This window comes from Homo sapiens, chromosome 10, assembly GCF_000001405.40.
Source record: "Homo sapiens chromosome 10, GRCh38.p14 Primary Assembly".
Taxonomy (NCBI): domain Eukaryota; kingdom Metazoa; phylum Chordata; class Mammalia; order Primates; family Hominidae; genus Homo; species Homo sapiens.
This window is the reverse complement of record NC_000010.11, coordinates 18332926-18360841: the sequence shown is the minus strand read 5'-3', so window position 1 is coordinate 18360841 and position 27916 is coordinate 18332926. Positions and strand designations below refer to the sequence as shown.

The following is a 27916-nucleotide window of genomic DNA, read 5'->3' as shown; positions in this document are numbered from 1 at the left end:
GATTTTGAAATCAGACAGTCCTGTTCTGCTCCTTGCTGGCTGTGTATTCAGCAGGTGCATAATCTGACACCCCAGATGCAGGGGAATATACAGCCAGCAAGTCGTCTAAGAGGACAAGTTATGGAGCCTGCTCTCCTCACTCATGACTATGTGTGGCCACCATATCTTAGCCCCGTGATCAAAGCTGCCACTTAAAGTTCTGTGCCTCAGTTTTCTTCTCTGTGAAATAAAAACAATAGGTCTGCCTCACAGGACTCTTGTGAGTGATAAGTGAATTATTAGAAACACAGCATAAATATTGCCTTAACAACAAAATAAGGCTGGGTGCAGTGGTGCATGCCTGTAATCCCAGCACTTTGTGAGGCTGAGGCCTGAGGATCCCTTGAAGCCAGGATTTAAGATCAGCCCGGGCAACAAAGTGAGATTCCATCCCTACAAAAAACAAAATTAGCCAGGTATAGTGGTGCACACATGTAGTCCCAGCTACTCAGGAGGCTGAGGCAAGAGGATCGCTTGAGCCCAGGAGTTTGAGGCTGCAGTAAGCTGTAATTATTGCTCTACTGCACTCCAGCCTAGGCAACAGAGTGAGACTCTGTCTCTTAAAATAAACCTAAACTGAACTCTTTGTGCCTCAGTTTCCTCCTTTATATAGGAGAGGAGGCAGCACCTATTTCTGAGGTTGTTGGAATAACTGATGTCAAAGAAACTTCAAAGTTCATTCCCCTGTTCTTACAATGTTGATTCATCGGCAGTTTATTGATGTCTTTCCTGAGCACCTGCTCTGTGTGACGCTGGATCACCCTATGCTCCTGTACTGTTCTTACCCGCCCTCCCCAGTATAGAGTCCAGTTCCTATGTTTATGGCTTAATTTGAATATAGAATAGTTTAATTTCCTCTTTGCACTCGTGGCTCAATTTACAACCCAGGACTCTTTAGTACCACTCACGACAGCAATAAGCATAAGCATAAAAGTTAATCTTAACATCAAAATAATTCAAAGTACAATAATTAAAATTCAAGAGATGTGGCCAAGAAACATGCCAGTTTAAGAACATCTCACACTGGGGACTGCTGGGGGGTGGGGGGCTAGAGGAGGGACAGCATTAGGAGAAATACCTAATGTAGATCACAGGTTGATGGGTGCAGCAAGCCACCATGGCATATGTATACCTATGCAACAAACCTGCATGTTCTGCACGTGTACCCCAGAACTTAAAGTATGAAAAAGAAAAAAAAAAACAAAACAGAATGTTACTTATAAGCTTCAGGCTGGGTGTGGTGGTTCATGCTGGTAATCCTAACACTTTGGGAGGCCAAGGTGGGTGGATCACTTTAGGTCAGGAATTCAAGACGAGCCTGGCCAACATGATAAAATCTCATCCCTGCTAAAAATAAAAAAAAATTAGCCGGGCATGGTGGCACACACCTGTAGTCCCAGCTACTCTGGAGGCTGAGGTGGGAGAATCACTTGAACCTGGGAGGCAGAGGTTGCAGTGAGCCGAGATGGCGCCACTGCACTCTAGCCTGGGTGACAGAAGGAGACCCTGTGTCAAAACAAACAAACAAACAAAAAACAAAACAAACATTACTCACAAACTCCAAATATCATTCCCACATCTATTTATTTATTTTTGTGGGGGTAGGCTTCTCAATGGACACGGGATATTTTAGTTTAAGGTTATGTCTGCAAAATAGGTCCCTAAATAACGTAGAAGTTAAAAAAAAAAGAAAATGGCTATCAGTATTTCAGTGGTTATTAAAACCCCCAACATGTTACTTTTCCATCATGACAATTTGTGTCACTATTTGCCAGTTAAATTCAGGCCTGTATTAAAGCTGACATAACATTTCCCAGGAAACTGCTACATAAAAAAGATTGCATAAGAGAAAAACGCCATGTAAAGTTTTTCTAATATGGCCATATTTATGAAAAGAACAGCAGCAACAACAAAACCCCTGAATTTAAATGTTTTGGTCTGTGATGCTGTATTGACAGACACAAGAAATCTATAAATAACCAAGTTATTTATTTTCAGGCTCTCATTTTATTCTATTGTTTGTTTCTTAAGGGCAATTCACACTTCTTTGTCATCAAACTGAATTCCTTCCACTGCTTTTTATTTCCTAGCCAGCTTTGTCTATCATACTCTATTGCTCTATTTATATGGTAAGTATTCTGAGTTAAAAAAAACTTGGCATGTCTCAAGCACAGCCACCTTGTACCTGTATAGGAAAACCAGATGTCATACTGCAATCACAAAGCAGTTCCAGAGAGAGAGAGAGAGAGCGAGAGAGAGAGAGAGAGAGAGAGAGAGAGAGAGAGAGAGAGAGAGAGAGAGAGAGCGTGCTCATTAGAAAAGGAATTTCCCTCATTCATTGCTGTATTCCTAGGTTCTAGAACAGCAGGTAGCATATACTAGTTGCTCAGTAAACATTTATACATTGAATAGATGGGCCAGGCATGGTGGCTCACACCTGTAATCCCAGGACTCTGGGAGTCTGAGGTGGGTGGATCACTTGAGGCCAGGAGTTTGAGAACAGCCTGGCCAACATGGTGAAAACCCATCTCTACTAAAAACACAAAAAAATAGCCAGGCGTGGTAGCGCGTGTCTGTGGTACCAGCTCCTCAGGAGCCTGAGGCAGGAGAATCACTTGAACCTGGGAAACAGACATTGCAGTGAGCTGAGATCGTGCCACTGCCCTCTAGCTTGGGTGACAGAGTGAGACTCTGTCTCCAGTTAATCAATCAATTGAATGGATGAATGTGTTTTCCTGTTTCTGCGTATTCCTTTCCATTCACTCATTCGTTTATTCCTTCTTTAAATATTTGCCATGCACTGCGACAATGATGTGCTGGATGTTGAGGCTTGTATAGTAGATGAGGCAAATATGATTCCTGCCCGCCATGCAGGAGGAGCTTAAGGAGTTTATCGTCTAAACTAATGGGTCCCCAAAAGGAGTGTTCCAGAAAGGTACTGCTGGATTTTTGGTTGTTTCAATGACTGAGAAGCATTACAGGATGCTTGTACACAGTGGCTAGGAATACACCTGTTTGCATTTTACACAGCAATCCTATGTGATTATAAGATGGATGTGCACCTCCTCTCACGATCTTTGACTATCCTGCTGGAATTCATGTGGGCGAAAAATATAAAATTATCTGAACCTAGAATCTAAATCTTTTTTTGGATATGAGTACAAGTCTTTTCGCATAGTTGTAAAATATACTGAATTTTCCAGAAATGAAAGTACTGTGACAATCAATGAAAGATTGTACTTTGTTTGGAACTTTACCAAATTGTTAACTATTGTCTTTAATAGCCGCACACCTGTAGGTGTACATCACCGCTAATCCGTCCATGCAGTGGCCCTATCCATGGAACTGCTTCCTCACATTTTCTAGTGTGGTTATGCCAGCATAATAACCCATTGAAATACACATTACCAGAGAATAAATTAATCTTTTTATTCATTGGGTCAGTATTTTGACCCAAATGGTTTTTAAAAATTTGTGTGTTGGTTGTTTGCATTAACTATACATTTCACTTCAGGATGATAAAGGACGAGTGCTGAAATACAGGTAAAAGAAATTGAGTCAGCCGGGCGCGGTGGCTCACGCCTGTAATCCCAGCACTTTGGGAGGCCGAGACGGGCGGATCACGAGGTCAGGAGATCGAGACCATCCTGGCTAACACGGTGAAACCCCGTCTCTACTAAAAATACAAAAATTAGCCGGGCATGGTGGTGCGCGCCTGTAGTCCCAGCTACACGGGAGGCTGAGGCAGGAGAATGGCGTGAACCCGGGAGGCGGAGCTTGCAGTGAGTCGAGATCGCGCCACTGCACTCCAGCCTGGGCGACAGAGCGAAACTCCGTCTCAAAAAAAAAAAAAAAAAAAAGAAATTGAGTCTGGGCCAGGCACAGTGGCTCAAGCCTGTAATCCCAGCACTTTGGGAAGCTGAGGCAGGAGGATCGTTTGAGCCCAGGAGTTCGAGACCAGCCTGGGCAACATGGGGAAACCTCACCCCTACAAAATATAAAAAAATTAGCCAGGCATGGTGGCATGTGCCTGTGGTTCCAGCTACTTGGAGGCTGAGATGGGAGGATTGCTTGAGCCCTCGAGGTCAAGGCTGCAGTGAGCTGCAATCATGTCAGTGCACTCTAGCTTGGGCAATAGAGTAAGACTCTGTTAAAAAAAAAAATGAAGGAGAAAAAGAGACGAGAGGAGAGAGGATCAAAATGTAAACTGCTGGTCAAATAATTACATTTATACGAAGCAAACTGGGTGATGTGAATAATGGGAGAAGCTCCTTTGTGCAATGTAGTCAGGAAAAGCTTTTCTGCAGAACCACAGAGATGTTTAGGATCAAAGTAAAGGGCAGGGAGGAATATTCCAGGTTTAAAATAATAACAACAACAATAATAATAATCCAGCAAGACCAGAAAGGTGGAAAGAAGTTGGCTTGCTGGAGAAAGTGAGGAAAATAAGCAGTGATGATGAGGTGGAGTGAGACAGAGCACAGGGTATAGACAGTGGGCTTCCTGATGGTGCCCAGAGCTAGCGTGATGCAAAGTGGGTGCTGGGCAGTTGGGATAGTTGCATGAATGAAGCATCAGAAAAAAGCAGGAGCAGAGGCCCAGCCTATGGCAGCTTCATCCTTGAAGGAATCAAGATGGGTAAGCAATATTACAGCGGGGAAGGTGGGAAGGGAGGGCTGTGTCAATGCATGGGGCAGTGGGCAGAGATCCAGGTCTCCTGGGACCTCCAGGGGCCTGCAGCCTTGGGGTGCCAGAGTCTCCGTGGAGCAATCCTTACAGAAACCTTCCAGAAAGTTGTGGGGTTTTTTGCATATTTTATGTGCATGTTAGTTGACTCGGACATTACAGAGGAGAATAAAAAATCAGAGGCCGGGCATGGTGGCTCACGCCTGTAATCCCAGTGTTTTGGGAGGCAGAGGCGGGTGGATCATGAGGCCAGGAGTTCAAGACCAGTCTGGTCAAGATGGTGAAATCCTGTCTCCACTAAAAATACAAAAAAATGAGGCAGGCGTGGTGGCAGGCACCTGTAATCCCAGCTACTCGGGAGGCTGAGGCAGAGAATTGCTTGAACCCAGGAGGCAAATGTTGCAGCGAGCCGAGATCGCGCCACTGTACTCCACCCTGGGCGACAGAGCAAGACTCTGTCTCAAAAAAATAAAAAAAAAAAAAAAAGAGAAAAATCAGATCAAACTTGCAGAGCCTAATCAGCTGGGCTTATGGCAGATACTTTTGTGATTATAACTAGGACTGAATGTTAGCAGCAGCTCTGCAATAGCATCAAAAAATTAAATAAAGGCCACATTTATTCAAGTGTCGTAATCATTTGTGTGATATCATTCATGATCCTGAGAACAAATCATAGCTCACACTAACACCAAATCGTTAGTTACATATAGAAGTCCCATTTTTAAAAAAACGACGATACATTTTTCTTTTCATTATAACAACTTTTTTCTACCTAGGTTTATACCTGGAAAAGAATAACTACAAGTAATGTTTGTAAAAGATAAGCTTCTCATCCAGAACTCCAAAATCTAGAAAGCTCAAATAACAAGAAATGATAGAAGTACTATGTTAAGCACCCTGAAACACTTAGAGTGTACATGCAGAGTATCCCTTACCTGAAATGCCTGGGACAGAAGTGTTTCAGATTTCAAATTTTATTTGGATTTCGGAATATTTGCATGTATGTAATGAGCTACATTGGGGATGGAACTCAAGTCTAAATACAACATTCATTAATGTTTCATGTACACTTTATACATATAGCCTCAAGGTAATTTACATGATATTTTAAATAATTTTGTGCATGAAACAAAGTTTGTGTACGTTGAACCATCAGGAAGCAAAGGTGTCTCTAGCCTACGTAAGTACTCAAAAAGTTTTGGATTTCGGATTTTTGGATTTGGAATGCTCAACCTGTAATATTGAGCTTCAGATGTGACTTTGAAGAAAGAAACCACACATGGTTTTATGGTTGTGCTTTAGGTTAATTCTCTGAACCCTGCTGACCCCTGTGTAGATTATGCAGATATTTTCAGAACCGGAAAAGCTACTGCCCATCACCTGCTCTGCCAGACTTCTCAGAAGTCCCCACTCCTCTGTTGTTGGGCCTGCTGGGTCCTGAGACTCCTCTAAAGATAGTTCCCCCATCCCTATAGTTGTAATTGAGAAACAAACATACAAGCAAAAACAGCAACAACAACAACAAAAACACCACAAAATAACCCTAGCTTTCCTTTCAGCCTTCATCTTCTGTGACCTCAGCTTCATCCAACACAATCAACCACACCATGACATCTGGCTCCTCTCTAGGCCCCACCATAACTGTCTTGCGCTCGGCTGCCATGTTTCTCTCCCCAGGACTCTTCCAACAGCCTTCTGACCTTTTCAAGGCCAGCACAAGTTGGTGGAAGGGTGGAGAGTTGGGTGGTGGTTGGGACCAGGCACAGTGGAAAGTTCTCATAGGACCTCACCAAGGAGACTCTTCCCAAGACAGGCAAGCAGTTTAAGGGCCCAAGTCAGGAGGAAAAAAAGGAGCTAACACTTAACAAGTGTTTGTTAAATGATTAATACCTCATTATCATACAGTGCTTTGCTATTTTTAAGATTTTCAAATTATATTTGAGCCTTGAGGTCTATAGGGGTCATACATCATTATTACTCCAAATGAAAAGATAAGCAAATTGACTCTCAGGGATTTGACTCTGGATAATTTGTCCAATGTCACCCAGCTAATTAAGGCCTACTATAGTTTTTTGACAGACTATACATTCCATTTAAATACTATAAAGTACTCATCAAGCTACTGGACACTTGCTGGTATTAATGAGTGCCAAGCTTTTTCAAATATTCACCAGAATATGAGTTTGCCCAATGGCTAGTAAGATTTATTGTTTATACTAGAAAGAAAACTTTGCTCATACTATTTCCTTATAATGCCTTTGGGCAAAAAAAATAGATAATGGCTTTTGTCAGAGTTAGCAGACTAAACAGATACATGTGATGAACCGGAAGCCCTCAGCTGCCATAGAGCAGTATAAAGAAAGTTTTTCAGAACTAAGCTGGTAATCCAAATTTATACTCTCAAATTGGATTGCCATGAATCAGAAATGCTAATAGTTCATAACCCCTGGAATATTGTATTCTTTCTTATCAACCATGTGCCTTATTATTCCCTCAAATTAGAGTCTTTGGTTAATTTTACTTTGATGTGTACCTTATACTGAATCAACGTAGATCGGCGAACTGTGAAGAAATGCTTACATATTTTGTTTATATCATAAAGTTACAGAGTTAAAAAGAGTTGAGAAGGCCTATGTCCTTAACTAAGACTTTTCCAAGTCCATACAAACGTACGTTTCATATAGAATCATAATTTTTTTTTTTTTTGGAGACAGAGTCTTGCTCTGTTGCCCAGGCTAGAGTGCAGCAGCACAATCTCAGCTCACTGCAAACTCTGCCTCCCAGGTTCAAGCGATTCTCCTGCCTCAGCCTCCAGAGTAGCTGGGATTACAGGTGCCCACCACTGTGCCCGGCTAATTTTTGTATTTTTAGTAGATATGGGGTTTCACCATCTTGGCCAGGGTGGTCTCGAACTCCTGACCTTGTGATCCACCTGCCTCGGCCTCCCAAAGTGCTGGGATTACAGGCATGAGCCACCGCACCTGGCATAGAACCATAAATTTTTAAAGCCCAATTCTAATTTTAAAACATGTAGAATTAAATGTAGGCCACATTATTGTATAGCAATCATATTTCTCTAATAAAAGATTTCTTTCATTATCCTTTTTCTGAACAGATCACATTTTCCTGCTACCAGACATAATATTTCATGAATAAGAAAAATAACTTTATTAAAGTATTCTATAATTTATAGCTTTACTAGAGGTGATGTAATACATTTGATGGATTCAAAATATGCTCACATATTCTGTTCACAGCTTTTATTGATACAAACATATATGTTCCTTCATTTGCCCAGAACATGAGAAAATCCAATATACTAATAATTCCAAATTGTGCTACATATTACATGTAAAGCATTCTCCCTTAAAAATGTCATATACTATGAAATGCTACGAAGCATGTTTCCTCTAAGTGTTCCTTGAAAAACATTTTTGCAACGAAACCTATGCAGTCCCTTGTAATTCATATAACAATTAAGTACGCACTTTTGAAAAATGACATCTAATTAATAGAAACTCTTCCAAAGCAACAAGTGGGTAGCAAAACTAAGTAAACAAGAGTGCTTAAAAATGGAACTCCTGGAATGCTTTTAAACCATGTTACTTGCTTATCATTCACTGATTATTCCTGGTTTCTCTTTTCTTTCTCTATTTATCAACCCTACTGTTCCCTATTTCAGTACTCTTCCATGATAACATTAGACTAAATTCCACAACCTAAGAGCTTTCATACAGTGGTGACATGTGCTATCTTCATAGCCCTGTATGATAAAGTAATTATGTTCTGTTGGTGTTGTAAGAATTAAGGAGATCAGATGCCATGCTTTTTCCCTGCTTCACAGAGGAGCCCTGTCATGGGACGTGATGCGTGGAAGTCCACTCAACTCATGCGATCAGAAAGGTAACAGGATTATCAGAATATCAAATATCTTACCCTTATATAAGGATAAGAATGAAGTACGCAGAGGCTGGCTTGGATGCAAAAATGTACTTTTAAGTTGTACTTTTAGGTTGAATGCCTATTCATCTTGGGCATTGCATTGAACACGCAGAAGAAATAGACCTGTCAAAATATCATCTGTCAGAGCTCTGCAAACAGGTCAAACATCCTTTTTAGGAGACTCTGAACACGCCTTGAGAGAGCAGCAGGAGTGTAGAACATTTGAAATTCTCTATGTCTATATATGTGTTTTAAATGTCATCACTCTCTTCCTTTGGTTTGCAAAAACTGTCACCCATTTTGACTTGTTGAATCAATGAATTCATCAGGAAAAAAAGCCTCTAATAGAAATCACACTTTAAAAGAGACTTTCTCTAACTTTGAAAGCAATACAACCAAAGAATCTTAAATTATGTGAAAAACTTTCCTAATTCTGTAATTAAGAACCAATCTAGTTTATTATGCTGAACTCAATTCATTTTGTTTCCTTTTGTTCCAGATTAAGGGCAGAGAGGAAATTATGCAAATACACTGGGTTGGAAATTATTTCTCTCGGCTTGTACAGACCATCTGGTTTTCCATGGTAGAGTGAAAAAGGCAGAAAACGGTAACAATAGAATAACATGTGTTTTCAACAAAATCCTTAAGAATGCTTTGAAATTTCTGGATGTAGCAAATCATTTTCCAGTTCATCATCTCACCCAATTAAAAAATATAGGTAGAAGAATGTAAAGAGACAGTAATCATTGTATATAGCAGATCACTGAATACGTAGTATATTGCAGAATCAGAAAAGATCTCTAGCACAGTCCAATTTCCCCAAGCACCTTCTTTCTTGCCTTATGATACTTTATCACAGAATTAATTGTCTTCTCATCTGTAATACAACATGATGACGGGATACAGAATATATTTAGTCCTAAGCCTATATTTGCAAAAGAAACATATTTTAAAGATCCCAAGAAAGCCTGATGAGAAATCTGGTTATAAATACACATTTTAGCAAAAAAGAAAAAAAAAAAAAGAAAAGAAAGGGTGTACATGTGATCTTTATAAAAATATATTTACTTTGTTTTTATATACATTCTCCTGTGAGAATGACTCTATGCTATTGTTTTTCCAAAAAGTAGCTGGCATATAATAAGAAAAAAGCAGCTCATTTAAAAAAATTCTAGTTGATCATTCTAGAAGATTGAAAACTATGTTAAGAAAAGTTACTTGTTTAGAGAAGATTAAAAATGGTTTTTAACTGTGATAGATGACGGCTTGAGCTCAGGAGTACAAGGCCACAGTGAACTATGATTGTGCCACTGCACTCCAGCATGGACGGCAGAACGAGACCCTGTCTCAAAAACAACCACCACCACTAAAAAACCAAACAGAAAATGGTTTTTAAAACACAAGTTAATTTTAAGATGATCTTGGTATCACACCCATGGGGTGATTTTCATGAACTCTGCCTAGGAAATAAACAGCTGGCCTTTTGTTCTGCTGCATGAAGGCCTGCCAGGTCTGGTGGACTCCTGGAGGGCTGATGGGCAATCTCACCTCCTGCTACAGGACCTGCAGGGTTCAAGGTCAAGGAGGTACCCCTGGGTGAAGATTAAGGGAACCTAAAGCGCTACTCCTGAGGGAACGTCGGCTGCTCTAGCAGCTGGGGCCATTAGAAAGTGCAGTCACCAGAGGCAAAACAAACAAAAACAACAAGGAGGCACAGGCAGTGCTGTGTGGGCTGCGTGCATGGAAGAGGCTGCCCTTTTGCTTCCAATTCCTGCTTTTTCCACGGACACCTGTGGGACCCCACGCTAGTGACAAACTTGACTGTGCTGAGATGCTTTATCTGCCAACTAGAGATGATCATGTGTCTACTTCACTGGGTTGTTATGAGAATTATTATTATTATTTTTATTATTTTAAAAAAATTTTTTTGAGACTGAGTTTTGCTCTTGTTGCCCAGGCTGGAGTGCAATGGCACAATCTCGGCTCACTGCAACCTCCATCTCCTGGGTTCAAGCGATTCTCCTGCCTCACCCTCCTGAGTAGCTGGGATTACAGGCACTCGCCACCATGCCTGGCTAATTTTTTGTATTTTTAGTAGAGACAGGGTTTCACCATGTTGGCCAGGCTGGTCTCAAACTCCTGACCTCAGGTGATCCACCCACCTCGTCCTCCAAAAGTGCTGGGATTACAGGCATGAGCCACCGCACCCAGCTGTTACGGAATTAAAAATAATAATAATAGATATAAAGCATTTGGCCTCATGCAACATACGTGCGCAATACAGGTGGGTTTTTATTAAATTGTATTTTAAGCATTGTGACAAAATATGCATAACATAGGATTTACCATTTGAGCCAATTTTAAGCATACAGTTCAATGGCATTGAATACATTCACATTATTGGGTAGCCATCACCATCTTCTGTCTCCAGGATCTTTTTTTTTTTTTAAATCATCTCCAACTGAAAGTTTGTCCCCATTAGACACTAACTCTCCACTCCCCTCTTCTCCCAGCCCCTGGAAACCACCATTCTAGACTCTGTGAGTCTATTCTAGGTCCCTTATATAAGTGGGGTCATTCTGTATTTGTCTCCTTGTGTCTGGCTCATCTCACCTAGCAGATTGTCATCAATTTTAATGGCATTTTGAGCCAGGTTTATGCTGCTGGAATGGAAAATGGTCCCAGAGAAGTCAGGCAAACTCAGTTGTGGAAATTAAACCAATATATATTTTCTCAGCCTAAAAGCAGATACTGCATCAACAATTGGACCCATTATTCTTCACACTCGCTGTGGTCTATTAACTTAGGTCATTGTAGTATGCCGGAGCTCCGGGAAAACGGTTCTTTTTAGGTCTCTTTAAACAAACGACTTTCAACAACATTTTCACCAACCAGTTGTTCCAGCCACAGCATCACATCCTTCAAATAGAAGCGGTCAAGTGGAGGCTGTATGGGGAACTCTGAATCTTATCACACCTCCTGCAATGTCCTGTGAATGCCCACCCTTCATATGAAGAACAAAGAAGTGAAGAAAGGCTGAGGTCCCTTTGTTCTGTTTGGTGGGACTCATTCTGTCACTCGGGCTGGAGTGCAGAAGCACGATCACAGCTCACTGCAGCCTCAACTTCCGGGAGTCAAGTGATCTCTCACCTCAGCCTCCCAAGGAGCTGGGATCACAGGCACACACCACCACATGTGGCTGATTTTTAAAATATATTTGTAGAGACAGGGTCTCCCTATGTTGCCCAGGCTGGTCTCAAACTCCTGAGCTCAAACGATCTTCCCACCTTGGCCTCCTAAAGTGCTAGGATTACAGGCATCAGCCATCTTGCCTGGCCTAGTTCTGAGGTCTCTTTAAAATATAAACTTTGTATCTGGGCACAGTGGCTCAAACCTGTAATCTCAGCATTTTGAGAGGCCAAGGCGGGTGGATCACCTGAGGTCAGGAGTTCCAGACCAGCCTGGCCAAACTGGTGAAACACCATCTCTACTAAAAATACAAAAATAGCCGGGCATGGTGGTGCACACCTGTAGTCCCAGATACTCGGGAGGCTGAGGCAGGAGAATCAGGAGGTGGAGGTTGCAGTGAGCCGAGATCAGGCCACTGCACTCCAGCCTGGGTGACAGAGCAAGACTCTGTCTCAAACAATCTATCTATCCACCTATCCATCCATCTATCTGTCTGTCTGTCTGTCCATCCATCTGTCCATCCGTCCGTCCATCCATCCTTTTTCTGAGTTCAAATTTAGCCCATATAACCACCTTGGGCCTCTGTATTCCAGCTACAGTGCCAAACATATGTATCTTAATTAAATCATTTTAAAGAGACATTTGACAAAATTATTCTCTAATTGTTGTCATTCAGTAAGTATTCTAAATTGAACTGAATTCCACAATTTCCAAATTTTCAACTGATCTTTTACCCGGAGAGTTCTTTAAATATTTATGTCTACAATGCAGAAATTCATGATTTCTCAAAATGTACATCGTTGCAAACGTGTTTTTATCTTGTTATGTTATCCAAGTAAGTGGCAATTTCGTCAACAGAGGCCACATTTAACTTCACCTAGATAGTACTCAGCATATCACATGTGAGTCATTAAAATTTTGGGCAATATCATGAGGCTCTTCTTTTTTCTATATTGTTATATTTGGGTGGATATACACGTTTTTTAAAAGAATGCCCAGATATCAAATCAGCATTAATTATTCACAGCCCACTGTAAAAGACTTGGAAGTTGAGCTGTGCACGACGCTCAAAACCTTCTGATGTAGAATTTAGCCTTGAAAAATTCCTTTCAAGTGTTTATATTGAACATTAAATCTCATTAAGCGAAGTCACGAAAATAGTCCTCAACCTGGGTCCAACAGAAAGGATCTCAGGCTCATCAGATTTCAGGTTGCAGAAATACCTGTGTTGTTAGAAACATGGTCTCAAGATTCAAGGTACATTCCTTAAGTAATTACTCAGGCTTCAAAGTAAAGACAAAACTAGGGACAGCTATTCTCAGATGCTTTAAGGATACTGCATTACCTGTATAGGCTTTTATAGCCTTCCAGACAGAGCAGTAGAGAGATAAAAATTATTGCCTTCATTGTATAGGGGGAAAAAAAAAAGCCTAGAGATGTTAATCAACTTGCTCAAAAACTAAGGAGCCAGTGCTAGAATTAAGAATAAAATCTTGGCTGGGCATGGTGGCTCAAGCCTGTAATCCCAGCACTTTGAGAGGCCAAGGTGGGCGGATTGCCTGAGCTCAGGAGTTCGTGACAAGCCTGGGCAACTTGGTCTCTACTAAAATACAAAAAAAAAAAAAAAAAAAAAAAAAAAAATTAGACGGGCATGGCGGCATGCGCCTGTAGTCCCAGCTACTCAGGAGGCTGAGGCAGGAGAATTGCTTACATCTGGGAGGCGGAGGTTGCATTGAGCCAAGATCTCACCACTGCACTCCAGCCTGCCAGCCTGGGTAACAGAGAGAAACTCCGTCTCAAAAATAAAATAAAATAAAATAAAATCTTGTTCTTGTCCTTTCAGTGCAGTCAGATATGTCCATCCTATCATGTTTTCAAATCAAAGCCTTTTTCTTCTATTAAGAAGACTAGGCGGCACAGAACAGTATGAAACAGACTTTCTAAAAGGTGCACTTTTATCAATGAGTATGGCCCCTTCTGACTGACAGCAGCAGGTCTATTTTGTGTGTTGGCAGCACAATTAAGGATCTTAGATGTGATTTCACGGGTCAGGTTTTTCTCTTCTCTGATGTCCAAAAAGCCACTAACAGGCCAGGTGCAGTGGCTCACACCTGTAATCCCAGCACTTTGGGAGGCCAAGGAGGGTGGATCACTTGAGCTCAGGAGTTTCAGACCAGCCTGGGTAACAAAGTGAAACCTTGTCTCTACGAAAAACACAAAAATTAGCCAGGCGCGGTGGCACATGCCTGTAGTCCCAGCTACTCGGGAGGCTGAGATGGGATGATGGCTTGAGCCTGGGAGGCGGAGGTTGCAGTAAGCTGAGATCATATCGCTGCACTCCAGCCTGGGCGACAGAGTGAGACCCTGTGCCCCCCGAGCTCCCCTCCTCCCCCAAAAAAGCCACTAACATTAACAAAGCTAGGTAACTGAACAAAGGTTGAAGGAAAAGTGATGACTATTTGTGAATTAACAAATGACATGATATTACATTAAGATCAAAATACTAGCAGATCCCTTACCAGAAAACCATATAGAAAGTTCCAGTTCTGGCCGGGTGCAGTGGCTCACGCCCGTAATCCCAGCACTTTGGGAGGCCGAGGCGAGTGGAACTCGAGGTCAGGAGTTTGAGACCAGCCTGGCCAACATGGTGAAAGCCCGTCTCTACTAAACATACAAAAATTAGCCAGGCGTGGTGGCGGGCACCTGTAATCCCAGCTACTCAAGAGGCTGAGGCAGGAGAATCGTTTGAACCCGGGAGGCAGACGTTGCAGTGAGCTGAGATCGCGCCACTGCACTCCAGCCTGGGAAACAGAGTGAGACTCCACCTCAAACAAATAAAAGAAAGTTCCAGTTCTCCACCTCTTAAGAGGAGAGTGGAAGATCTCTGAATGGCCACTGGAGGGGGAGCCCTGCAGGAAGCTACAAAGGCACAGGGTCTCTGCCAGGCCCTGCCAGCCCTGAAACAACAGAAATGTGATGATATGTTGGCTTGTGCTGCCCCTGACAATGTAAAATCTATGAACAGAAAGGTGAGACAGAATGCACTTTTCATACTAAGCGTGCTTCGGTCAGATGTGACCTTTTCCTTATTCTCCGTAATGGTTATTAGCTCCCTGTCAAAAATAAGTGAGATATCTGAATAAAGTCAAAAGCTTTTTGCTCCACATTCCGAAACTGAGGTTTAATCCTGTGACTAGTCTATCTGTTGATTTCTAATTATGCGAATACTCTATTTCTTCAAGCCAACCTCTAGAGATACCAGTAGGGTATTAGAATATAAATTTAAGATAAATTTATATGAAAGACAGTATTTTGATAGCATAGTATTGGATAGGGGAAAAACTATTCCACAGTTAATTCTGTAAGGATTGTTTTTGTTTTGTTTTAGGGAGCGGAGTGTGTTTAATAGGAAAGAAAGAAGGAAGAAGCTCCCCCATACAGAGACAGACGGATGGGAGTTCCAAGGTGAGAGAGGGAAAGCCTGTTAATATCCAACAAATAAAAAGTAACTTATTAATCTAAATGCAGGAAGCCTAATGAAACAATTCGCACAGAAATACAGAGAGTATATAAATATTCACCTTCAGTAGTAATCCACTAAACAGAAATTAAAACAATGCTGTATAACTATTTACATGAAAAGCAATCATTAATACATAATACTGCATACATTGTGATAAAATTAGTATATGAATAATACTGGCATTGTCCACTGGTAGAATTTGGAAAAAAAGATATCAAAAGCATAGCCAGGGACTTATAAGAACATTCAAACCCACTCACTGTGCAAATAATTCCACATCTGATAATTTATCTCAAATAAGTTATTTAATGGAGCTGAAAACCATATGTTCAAATTTGTTATAGATTTATCTATGAAAACAAAATTATAAAATCAATTAAAAAGTCCAAAAATAAATGACCATTTTATTGGACAATCAATGGCAGATCGTCACGATGTTATATTATGCTGATTAAACAGTGATCTGATTAAACAGTGATCTCAAAATAAGGTTGAAGGAAAAAAGGCAGAACCCACAACTGTCTGAACACTGCAGTTACAACTATAAAAATATGTATGCTTGTAGAAAAGAACTGCAGTACAATATGCCAGCATAAAAATATCTGACCACAGCATGGTGAGCTTGTGGGGTATTCCTACACCCACATTCCTTTAATATTTCTTCTGTTTTATTTTATTTTATTATTTTATTTTGAGACGGAGTTGTTGCCCAGGCTGGTGTCGTTCAGGCATGAGCCACTGCCCCCAGCCAATTTCTTCTATTTTTAGTGGTAAAAACTTTAATTACTTTGAAGGATAGAGCTCTTTTCACACCTGTAATTCCAGCACTTTGGGAGGCCGAGGTGGGTGGATCACCTGAGGTCAGGAGTTCGAGACCAGCCTGACCAACATGGTGAAACCCCGTCTCTACTAAAAATACAAAAAAAATTAGCTGGGGTTGGTGGAGGACGCCTGTAATCCTAGCTACTTGGGAGGCTGAGGCAGGAGAAACACTTTAACCAAAAGGTGGAGGTTTCAGTGAGCCAAGATCATGTCACTGCCCTCCAGCCTGGGTGACAGAGTGAGACTCTGTTTAAAAAAAAAAAAAAAAGTTTTGTCAATTTTAATAATGAAAATAACTGCAAATCTCTATTGCGACTGCACAAAATGACTCTTTCCACAAACTGATCGTTTTATGGGGCAAAGTAAAATCAAACAGGATGGCTCCTCTTGATGCTGAAGCCAGCATCTCCATGTACATACATTAGCCACCAGGCCTTATGGACATTATACTTACATTTAAATACAAATTATATCTGAAGAGTGATGTAGAAGCCTGCAGCCTTAGATCATTATTTGTCTTATAACATACAGGAATACACAGTCACATGCTAACTTTCTTTTTTTTTTTTTTTTTGATAAATGCTTGAGCAATATAAAATTAAAGAGGAAGAAAAAATAATCGACCCAAAATTACTAGCCTTCTTAGAATACTTCATCATCATCATCTTATTTGTTGTCTCAGGTTTACGCCCACTCAGATTTATTTATTTATTACCATTTAGAAGTTGAGGACCACTTTGATAATTGGCAGAAGCTAGAAAATGTTCACATATGCAGAGACTGAAATATTTGCACACAGTTTTAGAGCGTTTGTATTTGCTTTCCCCTCCCAGCCCGCTGATAGCTGACCCACAGGTCTCCAATTAGAAGTCACACTTCACAAGGGGGACATTTAATCTCTCTCCCTGTCCTCCAATATGCAAATAAAAACTCAACTCATCACTTTCCTTTGCTGCCTATCAGAAGTATCACAGTTTGGGATTTCAGAGCTAAGTTCTTTCATTCCTAGCTATTGCAGAAAATATAGGAAGGCATACACCTTCCCTGAATAACTCTAGGAACTATGCTAAGCCATCCATATAATTATATTCTATGCATGTACTCTGATCGTTTTAAAAAATTCTCACAAGTATCTTGAAACACAGTTATTATTATTCCTAATTTTACAGATGATGAAACTGAGGCTCAGAGAAGATAAAATCTGCCAAATCACACCATTATTTAGGGGACGGTTTAGTATTCAACGTCAAGTCTGACTGGATCCAAATACTTTCTCTTAACCACAGTCAGAAAAAACAAAAATTACGGGTAACAATAATAATAAAAAAAAACCTGCCCAAATCAGAGAGATCATTGTTATTTGGAGGAAGGGAAGAAAGGATAGAGAGGAAGTGACCATCTGGGTCTAAGAATAATGGCACTCAATTGCAGTTATTAAAGATACCATGTTCAAGAAATTTACAATGCAATGATACCAGGATTCATAAATAAATTATGCACTTAAAACTAGTTAGACTGATCTATATATATTTGCCTTTGGCGGTAGAAAGTAATTACACCAAATTGCATTGGTTTATTGATTTCATTTTAATGCACAATGAGAATTAAATGGGTAATTTCTAAATGTGTTTCCTGCATTTGAGGTTTGGAATGACTTTAGAAGGTACTGAAATAAACTGAAACTGATATAAAAACTGAAATCATACTTGCGATTAGAACAAAAATAAAGACCACACAGTTTATTCAGCATTCTAAACAACTATCCCATAATACATATACAGGCACATATAAATATACATATATAAATATACATATGTATAATTTAAAAAATTATCTCCATTTATATTCTTGTCCAAACTTGAAAGAATTTCTGTCATTATTGGAGAACTTTGAGAAAGACTGAATTTAAAGTGTTGAATGGTTATAAAGACTTTAAAAAGAGTTGTTTTAAACTTTAACCATTCAAAAATCCAAAAATCCATGTGTTTATAAGCCCTATTCAAGCATACTTATTAGTTAAAATGAGAGGTAGCCAGGCCATAGGAAACAAAAAGTCTATTTTTAGGAAAGAAGTAATTTAAAAGACTAAACATCCCTGTGCAGATTCCCCATGATACTTAAAGATAGGACTAAAATTAATTGTAGGATAAATTATTCATGTGATAACTATTATTTCTGTAGACACAGATCTTGCTATGCTGCCCAGGCTGGTCTCTAGCTTCTGGCCTCAAGCGATCCTCCCACCTTGGCCTCCCAAACTTTTGGGATTACAGGTGTGAGCCACCATACCTGGCCTCGTGACTATTTAATATCATATAGATTGTCATTCTTATTAAATAACTGTGACATAATTGTGACCAGTTTTGTTGCTGAAAATATTCAAAATGGCCAATGGAATGTATTTGGCAATTTGCATTTTAGGTTATACATGTTTTCGTAATTCACAGAATTCCGCTGCAGGAAAAAATATAGCAGTTATTTCATGTTTGATAATATTCTTAAAAAGCAAGCAAGTTTACAGGAAATGATTCCAGATGTACTCAAACAGGTACAGAATAATTTCTAAATTGGACATGAGTAGCATTTGATAGGTGGGCGTGACATATCTAATGCCCAGAAACCGTTGATAATTAGTGTATACATTGCCAGCCATGTCAGAACCTAAAGAAATAGAATTGTCACGTACAATACTTAATGAGGGCCAACTCAGCAAGTAAAATTCTGTATCTTTAGAAAACTTAAAGTAAAATCTAATAAAAGAATCATCAAAATCACATAAAAAGTATCTCAGTTTCCAGTTTTATATGATACAACATAGAAGAAATGACCACAAAGATATTTCCTAGCAAGCATTTTTTTCTCTATTATACTAAATTTAGTATAGGTTGGAACAATTAGAAACAAAAGAAGTACTTAAAATAATTTTTAGACAAACTATTAATTTTAAAATGGTATTTTCATGTCCTATTAGCACAGATATTTGTAACTTTATGACTTTTATTTTTACGGGCTCTGGTTTAGTTTTAGGTTCAGGGTTTTTTTTGTGCATGTTTTCATCCTTTCCTAAAAAGGCACCAATAAATAATAATAAAGTCTTTTCTTTAAAAGTTCTAAACCAAATCCGAAGACCCAAACAGTCAGTCCTCGTGTGGCAAAGCTTTATGTTTAAGTATTTTAAACTTTAGACTGTCATGTTTGTATTTTATTAAATTCAAAATTTCTAAAGTTGATGAATAGTAAAAGAATCTTAATTTGCAGCAACACAGCAAGTCAGACCATCCTGATTTACACAGATAGGTCTCAGACACACAAGAAGTCAGTGGCTAGGCTGTCAGAGTGATACTCAAGACAAGTGCTGGTCTATAGCTGGAAAAAGCATTTTCATTTTCCACTAAATTTGTCTGCACCGGGACTCTCTCCCTAAGCTACTAAATGAAGCTCAGTAACATACAGTTTAAAACCAGAGTTACAGTTTCACTTGCTTAAATCACCACAGCATTAAAGTAATAACACTGTGAATGGCAACATTTCTGGCAAGATAAGAAAGTCTAAAAAGTTAAGTAACTAGTATGATTTTAGCTCAAGCTCGGCAACAGTTCTATGCATTCCTGTTTTCTTTAAACCGCACCGTGCATCTGGCCGGCTTCTCTCCCGTATGCTTACCCCAGGAATAATGTATTTAGTTTGAGGAGCTATAAGGCGTCTGTCAAGCATGCTAGACCAATTCCAAGTGCGCCCAGCACTCCAGCAGGAATTTTCTTCACAGGAGCAAGAATTCAGGACTAGCTAAAAGGCAGCCAAGTCTTGCTTTGCTGAACAGCATAGCAACTGCTTTCCTTTTTCTTGCTGGCTTGGGGTGTGTAGTCTTAGTTAGTGTGACTTTCTAAAGTTCGTCGGATCACAACAGCTCTCTGTTCCAGAACCACTTAGGCAGAGCAGAGGAGCTCATCAAAGTCAATTAACAAACGCAAGTGGGAGGGTCTTATTCTCCTCTGAATTACGTCAGCTGGCTTGGAAGACAGACGCCTGCAAACTTGTCAAAGTACAGTAACACTTCATTAGTATCAGATGCGACAGGTCCCTCCAGGCAGCCAGGACTCCAGCCCTGCTCGAGAATCCTTTCTTCAGAACAGAACAACAGGTTGCATAACTGGATAAGCTGTTAGCATTCAAAGAAACTACTGTCTTGAAAGTCTGCAATAAAAGTAAAAATATTTTTCTACTCCCACCCACTGAAGAAATATTTTCTCTTTTGCACACAAGAAAGTGATATCTTTCTTTTTTCGTTGCCTTTCAAGTTCTCAGTGTGTATGGAAAATCTAATTTTTTTCACAGTCAAATGAGTATCACTTGGAGACATTTACCTTTTGTAAATTAAAAACTTCTTTATATTAAAAGACAGCATTAAACATTGAAATAATAAACACAATATTCTGAGAGCATGCTTGCAACACACACATATATGTATATATATAGGTATTACTATCCAGGAAATAGAACTCCTATAAATCAAAAGGCTCACAACCAAAAGACCCACAACTAAAAGAACATGGAAAACAAGACGTGAATAGATAAATCATAGGAGATAAAATTCTAGTGGTCAATACACAGGACTTCCTTTCTAATCAGGAAATACAAACTGAAATCACAGTTTACCATTTTGCATCCATCATGGTGGAAATATTTTTAAAAAATCTGAAAATCTCAGATCTTGGTGAAAATGTCAAGAAGGGGATGGCAAGCTATGGCCCACAGTCAAGCTCAGTCAGCCACCTGTTTTGTATAACCTACAAACTAAGAATGTGTTTTACATTTTTAAATTACTGGGGAAAAAATAAAAAACAGAATGGTATTTTGTGGCACATGACAATTACCTGAAATTCAAATCAATGTTCTTAAATAAATGTTTATTGGAACATACGGGCTTGTTCATTTACGTATGCTCCATGGCTGCTTTTGTGCTCTTTACAAGAGCAGTCATTGCAACAGAGACCATGTAACTCACAAAGCCTTAAATATGTCCTACGTGGCCCTTTACAGAAAAGGTTTGTAAGCCTGTGATGCAGAGCAACTAGACTTTCACATACTGTTGGTGGGAGAATATCTTAGTTATTTATTTAGAGATGGAGTCTTGCTGTGTTGCCCGGGCTGTAGTGCAGTGGCGCGATCTCGGCTCACTGCAACCTCTGCCTCTCAGGTTCAAGCCATTCTCCTGCCTCAGCCTCCTGAGTAGCTGGGATTATAGGCCAGTGCCATCACAGCTGGCTAATTTTTGTATTTTTAGTAGTTACGGGGTTTCAGCATATTGGCCAGGCTAGTCTCGAACTCCTGACCTCAAGCGATCTGCCTGCCTTGGCCTCCCAAAGTGCTGGGATTACATGCATGAGCCACTGTGCCCAGCCTGTTGGTGGGAGTATAAACTGGTACAGTCACATTAGATATTTAGCAGGATATAATGAAACTGTTGATGCACAAGTACTCAGGCTTGGCATCCCACCCCTCAGTACATACCCAGGGATACCCTCACATGAGTACACAGGGAGGTGCATGAATGAAATGTCCCTAGCTACACCGAGGGGCTGTAGTAAAAAACGGGAAACAGGCTGGGCATGGTAGCTCACGCCTATAATTCCAGCACTTTGGGAAGCCGAGGTGGGAGGATCATTTGAGCCCAGGAGTTTGAAACCAGCCTGGGCAACAAAGGAAGACCCCGTCTCTGCAAAAAAATTTAAAAATTAGCTAGGCATGGTGGCATGTGCCTGTGGTCCCAGCTACTTGGGAGGCTGAGTTGGGAGGATCATTTGAACCTGAGAGGTAGAGGCTGCAATGAGCTATGATCATACCACTGCACTGCAGCCTGGGTGGAGCCAAGACCCTCTTTCAAAAAAAAAAAAAAAAAAAAGGAAAGAAGGAAAGAAGGCAGGAAGGCAGGAAGTCAGGAAGGAAGGAAGGAAGGAAGGAAGGAGAGAGAAAAAAAGAAAAAGAGAGAGAAAGAAAGAAGGAAGGAAGGGAAAGAAGGAAAGAAAAAACCTAGATGCATATCAACAGAAAAGTGGATAAAATTTTGGATACTATTCAGTAGTGAAAGTGAAGGGTCTGGAAGTTACCTACTTGAGTAAATCCCTACAAACACAATGTTGATAGAAAAATCAAGTTTTGGAACTTTAAGGTACCTTGAGAACCTATGTGTACAAGGGTTCCCTTTTCTCCACACCCTCAACAACACTTGTTATCTCTTGTCCTTTTGATCACAGCCATCCTAACAAGAGTAAACTAGTATTTCATTGTGATTTTGACTTGCATTTCCCTGATGATTAGTGATGTTGACACCTTTACATATATTTGTTGGCCAGAGTTTTATGTCTTCTTTGGAGAAATGTCCATTCAGGTCCTTCATACATTTTAAAATCAGGTTATGTCTTTTTTCCGTTCTGTGAGTTCTTTATATATTTGGGGTATTAACCCCGTATCAGGTATGTAATTTGAAAATATTTTTTCCCAACCCACAGGCTGCCTTTTCATTTGGATAACTATTTCCTCTGCTATGAGAAAGCTTTTTGGTTTGGTGTAATCTCACTTGTTTATTTTTGTTTTTGTTGCCTGAGCTTTTGGTGTGATGTTTTAAAAAAATTATTACCAAGGCCAGTATTCAGCAGCTTTTCCACAATGTTTTCTTCTAGGAATTTTATGGTTTCAGGTCTTTAATCCACTTTGAGTTGATTTTGTTCATGGTATAAGATAACGATCCAGTTTCATTTCACTGTGTGTATGAATATCAAAACATCATGTTGTACACCTTAATATATAGAGACTTTTTTAAAAAGAACCTATGGTATGATTTGCAGCAAAGTTGAAAATATGCAGAAATACTATATATTTTATGCAGGTGGTAAAACATGTAAAAAAATAAATATGAAAATAATGAATGCCAAATCCAGGATGGTGGTTATGTCTGGAGAGGAGTATATTTGGAAGCGTTAGTGAGGGGAAGGGGCAACTTTATCAGTAATATGTTTTCAAAACTAGATCACACCTACATCATTGGTCATTATAATATTTTCTATGCTTCTTTGTATTCTGAAATAATTTATAATAAATAAATGTCTAAAGTTAGGAAAAACTGTTAAAAATTTTTGATACAAAAAGTGCTAGACCACTGTGGCCATTAAAATGCTTATGAGACACTTCCATTACATAACAAATGCTACAATGGGTAAGAGTAAATAAAAGAAAAAAGTAGGCCGGGCATGGTGGCTCACGCCTGTAATGCCAGCACTTTGGGAGGCTGAGATGGACGGATCACTTGAGCTCAAGAGTTCAAGACCAGCCTGGGCAATAAAGAAAGACCTCAGGCATAGTGGTGCATGTCCGTAGTCCCAGCTACTCAGGAGGCTGAGATGGGAGGATTGCTTGACTCCAGGAAGTCGAGGGGGCAGTGAGCCAAGATTACGCTACTACACACCAGTCTGGGCAACAAGAGTGAGACCCTGTCTACAAAGAAAGAAGAAAAAAAAGAAGAAGAAAGAAGAGAAAAGAAAAGCAAAAAGCAAAAGAAAAAAGTGGACTACCAATTTGTTTTTACAGTAAAGATTCCACTGTTAAAAATATTTAGAAGAAACTTGTAAGGAAGCATATGAATTATATTAACAGTGGCTGTGGGTTACTAAGTAGTGGTTTGAGGGTATTTATTTTTTCTTTCCTTTTAAAAAATTTAGTACTTTTCAAACTTTCTACAATGGGTTGGTATTACTTTTCAACCTCAAATAAAGTTTAAGTGTCTAACACGCAACCAAGGATTATCTAATTTTCTAGGGAAATTAGAACCCTTTGTTTAACTCAGCATTTATTATGGGTTAGGATATTTTTTATCTCTGTGAGGATAGACTTTAACTTGTCAAAAGCTGACAGACATGCAAATGAATTCGTCCAATATAAATAAATTGGTCTAGGAGAAATGCAAATGATTGCTGTCTTGTAGGAAAGATTATCCCCTAAGTCATCTTTTTTTTTTTCTTTTTTTGAGATGGAGTCTCTCTCTCTGTTACCCAGGCTGGAGTGCAGTGGCATGATCTTGGCTCATTGCAGCCTCCGCCTCCCAGGTTCAAGCAATTTTTATGCCTCAGCCTCTCGAGTAGCTGGAATTACAGGCACTCGCCATTACACCTGGCTAATTTTTGTACTTTTAGTAGAGATGAGGTTTTGCCATATTGGCCAGGCTGGTCTTGAACTCCTGACCTCAGGTGATCCACCCACCTTGGCCTCCCAAAGTGTGGGATTACAGCATCAGCTGCCATGTCTGGCCCACCCTAAGTCGTCATTTTATTGTTCTGGGGAGTATTAACCAGTTCTTGTATCTAATTGAACAATTCATAGCTCAGGGTTCTTTCTTTCAATGACTATAAATACTTAAACCTTTCCCATAATCTTTCAAACTGGCTTAACCATGCTGGCTCCTTTAATGAATTAAAAACAAAATTTGGCCTGTATTCAATCTATATTTGTTTGAAAGACATGTTCTGAAAGTTTGGAAACATTATATTTAGATGCCAGTTTTAAATTTGAAGCCATAGTTCCTCTCTCTTCTGACAATGGCATATTTGAGTATCAGCTTTCCAAACCCAGCCCACTTTAATTTATAATGCCACCAAAACATATTTACAATAGAAAAATGTTAACTAATAATGATTTTGGGTAACCAAAGCAACTGAGGTTTGAAGAGAAGGATGAGGATGGAAATTCTAAATGGAACATATAGGAATTTCAATGCCTTTCCAAGCTTCTGTAAATTTTCTACTACTAAATAACTGTGTGTGTATGTGTGTGTGTGTGTGTGTGTGTGTGTGTGTGTGTGTGTGTTTTCTTGCTGTCAAACAAGACTGAGAGATATTTTGTTGAGGTCCTTGGTAAGAACATATAGAGAAAAACTAATGAGGAAAAACTAAGGAAAAAATGTATGCATCAGTGAGAAACAGACCTAAGATTGAAACCCAGAAAAAAGAATAATTGAGGTTCATGTAAGACAGGAAGTGATGGACTTAATATGTATATATTTTTTTGAGACAGAGTCTCGCTCTGTTGCCCAGGCTGGAGAGCGTCTTGGCTCAATGCAACCTCTGCCTCCTGGGTTCAAGCAATCCTCATGCCTCAGCCTCCTGAGGTAGCTGGGATTAAAGGCATGCTCCGCCATGCCTGGCTAATTATTTTTGTTGTTGTTGTCTGCTTGTTTTTACTAAAGATGGGGTTTCAACATGTAGGCCAGGCTGGTCTTGAACTCCTGGCCTCAAGTGATCTGCCCACCTTGGCGTCCCAAAGCGCTGGGATTACAGGTGTGAGCCATCACACCCTGTGAAAGTGATGGTTTAGATGATAGATAATTTGTCATGCCTGACACCAGAAGAAATAAGAAATCCAAGACAATTTGGTCACTTGCCAGTGTTAAGAGAATAGAAAAAGAAAGGCTATCTTAATTTAAGTGGTTAAGTCCATATCCAACGGTATTTTTTTTTTTTTTACTTTTCATACTTCTGACAAATTTTCACATTAGATGTCTGTAACTTAGGTAACGAATGTCTGAAATGTATAGTCATATTATGGGATAAATATATTAAAATAGCATGTTTTCACGGTTTTTTTCCTAGTTATGAAATAATTTTTCTGGTTATATTTTCATTGTTGAGTACCAGAAAATCAGTGAAAGGAAAGCACGAAACAAAACAATGCTTCTCCTTGTCATCTCCCAGGTTTCTAATCTATAAAAAGAGGATAAGACTTCAAAAGATAATTGCCAGAATGACATAAAACATCTAGTACACATCTGGCACACCAGAATTGCCAAATAAATGTTGATTTCCTTTGCTGTAACTCAGTGGTTCTCGAATGGGGGTGATTTTGACCCCTCAGGGGACATTGGGCAATTTCTGGAGCCATTGTTGCTTGCCACGATGGGGAGGGGTGAGGAGTTTACTGGAATCTAGTGGGCAGAGGCCAGGGTTCCTGCTCAGCATCCTACAATGCACAGGGGAGCTTCTCATCACAAAGAACAATCCTGCACAATATGTCCATAGTGCTGAGAATGAGAAACTGGCCAGAAATGAAGGTGCCCTTTATGTCAAAGCTGTCAATGTGAAGTGCTTTCAAGTATAACCTAAGATCCCAGAATGTGAAATTCAAATTCTTTCTCCATCTTGTTCAGATTGCTTGAAAGTAGGACAGAAGACTGGAGAGGCAAAATGCAGGAGGAGAAAAACCAGACCCCCGTGGGTCTCAAAAGCAGCTCCTGGGATCTCAGTTAAGTGCCCAGTTATTCTGTGATTCTGGGAGAAGCGCACAGACGCCACTGGAGTAGCTGGGTGTCAGATTGCAGATGGAAGGACCTGAGGTTTCTGCAGTCCCAGCTCGTATTCACACCGTGGAACATTTGTCCTTAGCTTGTTTCCAACTTCCTTCCATCCCCTGCTCCCGTCACTTGCCCCCAAGTTGTCTTTGCTAAACAGTGAAAAGGGCTTAATGAAAATGACATTATAACTAGATGCATGCTCACTAATCTGAAAAGAGAAGGGTTCTTTCTGTTGATTTATTTGTAGTCTGCATTGCTATTATCTGTCGACATAAACAGAAAGCAGAGAGGAGAACCTCAGGAATTCTGAACTTTCAATCGGGACAACTTTCTCATTTGTTGTTTTAAACTTTAAAACAGCAGCAGACCTTTCTGGAAGGAGAGGTAGTGGCCAAAGTATAAATATGTTACGTTGCCAGGAGACGACAAAAAAAAAGGCAGAATTTTGGAGGTCACATACTTCAAGTGGTCCGTCCAGACTTCAAAGTCCAGTCTATTTATCCAACCATAGAGGATTGTGAAAAAATTCCCTTGATCACACCCCAATTTAGAGTTTATGCCTCAACAGTGTCATCTTTGATTATACAAGACCATGCTATGTGTACAAATATGGATAATTATGGTACGTGTTAGCCAGACAGTGAATCATAACAGCAAAACAAAACTCTAGTGTGTGTGTACACACGAAGGCTCACATGTGTTTTTGGTAAATAACAGCCAACACATGCTTTTCTCAAAAAATAAAAGTAGGAAACAATTTCACATGCCATAGTAAAAAAACAAGATGGAAATAGTCACAGACATAATAGAATTTTCTTTCAACATAGCAATCTATGTTGTCTCTAACAGGTTTTTTTTTTTTAACATTAACAAAATTTCCAACTGAGCTATTGCTATTGACTGAGAAGAGCAAAGTGCTTTTGTCCCAAAGCTGTACTATTTAAGGCAAGTAGTTGTACTGTGGAAATCCCTTCCTCAGAGTTTATCCCTCTAAGAAGCCATGATCAATCCCGCCTGCAATTCAGCAGCTTCAGATAAGGTGAGACTTTATTCAAATCAGAGCCACTCAAATAAATGAGCCTTTTTTGAGAAAGCGCGTTGAATTCAAGCATATTACGACTAACTGCAAAAACTGAAAAGGACTTTTCCCCATCCCCCCATCCCTATCGCTGAATGAGATACACTTGAAAATGAGAACCTACTGTTATTAATGAAGAGGCATAGCAATTTTATCTTCATGAAAGCTGCCACTTCAAGCAATTCTAGAAATAATGGGAGGAAAGGGTATTTTGGTGGCTTTTTTGGCCCCTTTACTCCCCAACCCCATAGATCTGTTGTATTGTAAATTTGACACTGAAAATCATAGCTTGCAATTTTTT

At 39.8% G+C, this 27916-nt stretch overlaps 1 protein-coding gene across 11 annotated transcripts in view, besides 1 other annotated feature; it reads right to left on the bottom strand.

Annotated features, from left to right (window-relative positions):
- The window catches only part of CACNB2 (calcium voltage-gated channel auxiliary subunit beta 2), a 403134-nt gene that overhangs the window by 182716 nt on the left and 192502 nt on the right, over nt 1-27916 (bottom strand). For 2 of the 11 annotated variants that reach the window (NM_201590.3, XM_011519659.3), the window contains exon 1: nt 19865-20133. The exons of the other annotated variants lie outside the window; for them this stretch is intronic. In NM_201590.3, coding sequence (NP_963884.2) covers nt 19865-19915 — 51 coding nt within the window. In that variant the 5' untranslated portion in view covers nt 19916-20133. Of the gene's footprint in view, nt 1-19864; nt 20134-27916 lie in introns of those variants that run through there. 11 annotated transcript variants of the gene reach the window in all.
- Nucleotides 20118-20323: a silencer, noted in NCBI's record as "fragment chr10:18629448-18629653 (GRCh37/hg19 assembly coordinates)". NCBI's record gives its function as "represses an EF-1alpha promoter that drives an FKBP-Casp9 reporter gene in an ReSE screen in HepG2 liver carcinoma cells {active_cell/tissue: HepG2}" and the evidence as "EXISTENCE:reporter gene assay evidence [ECO:0000049][PMID:32094911]".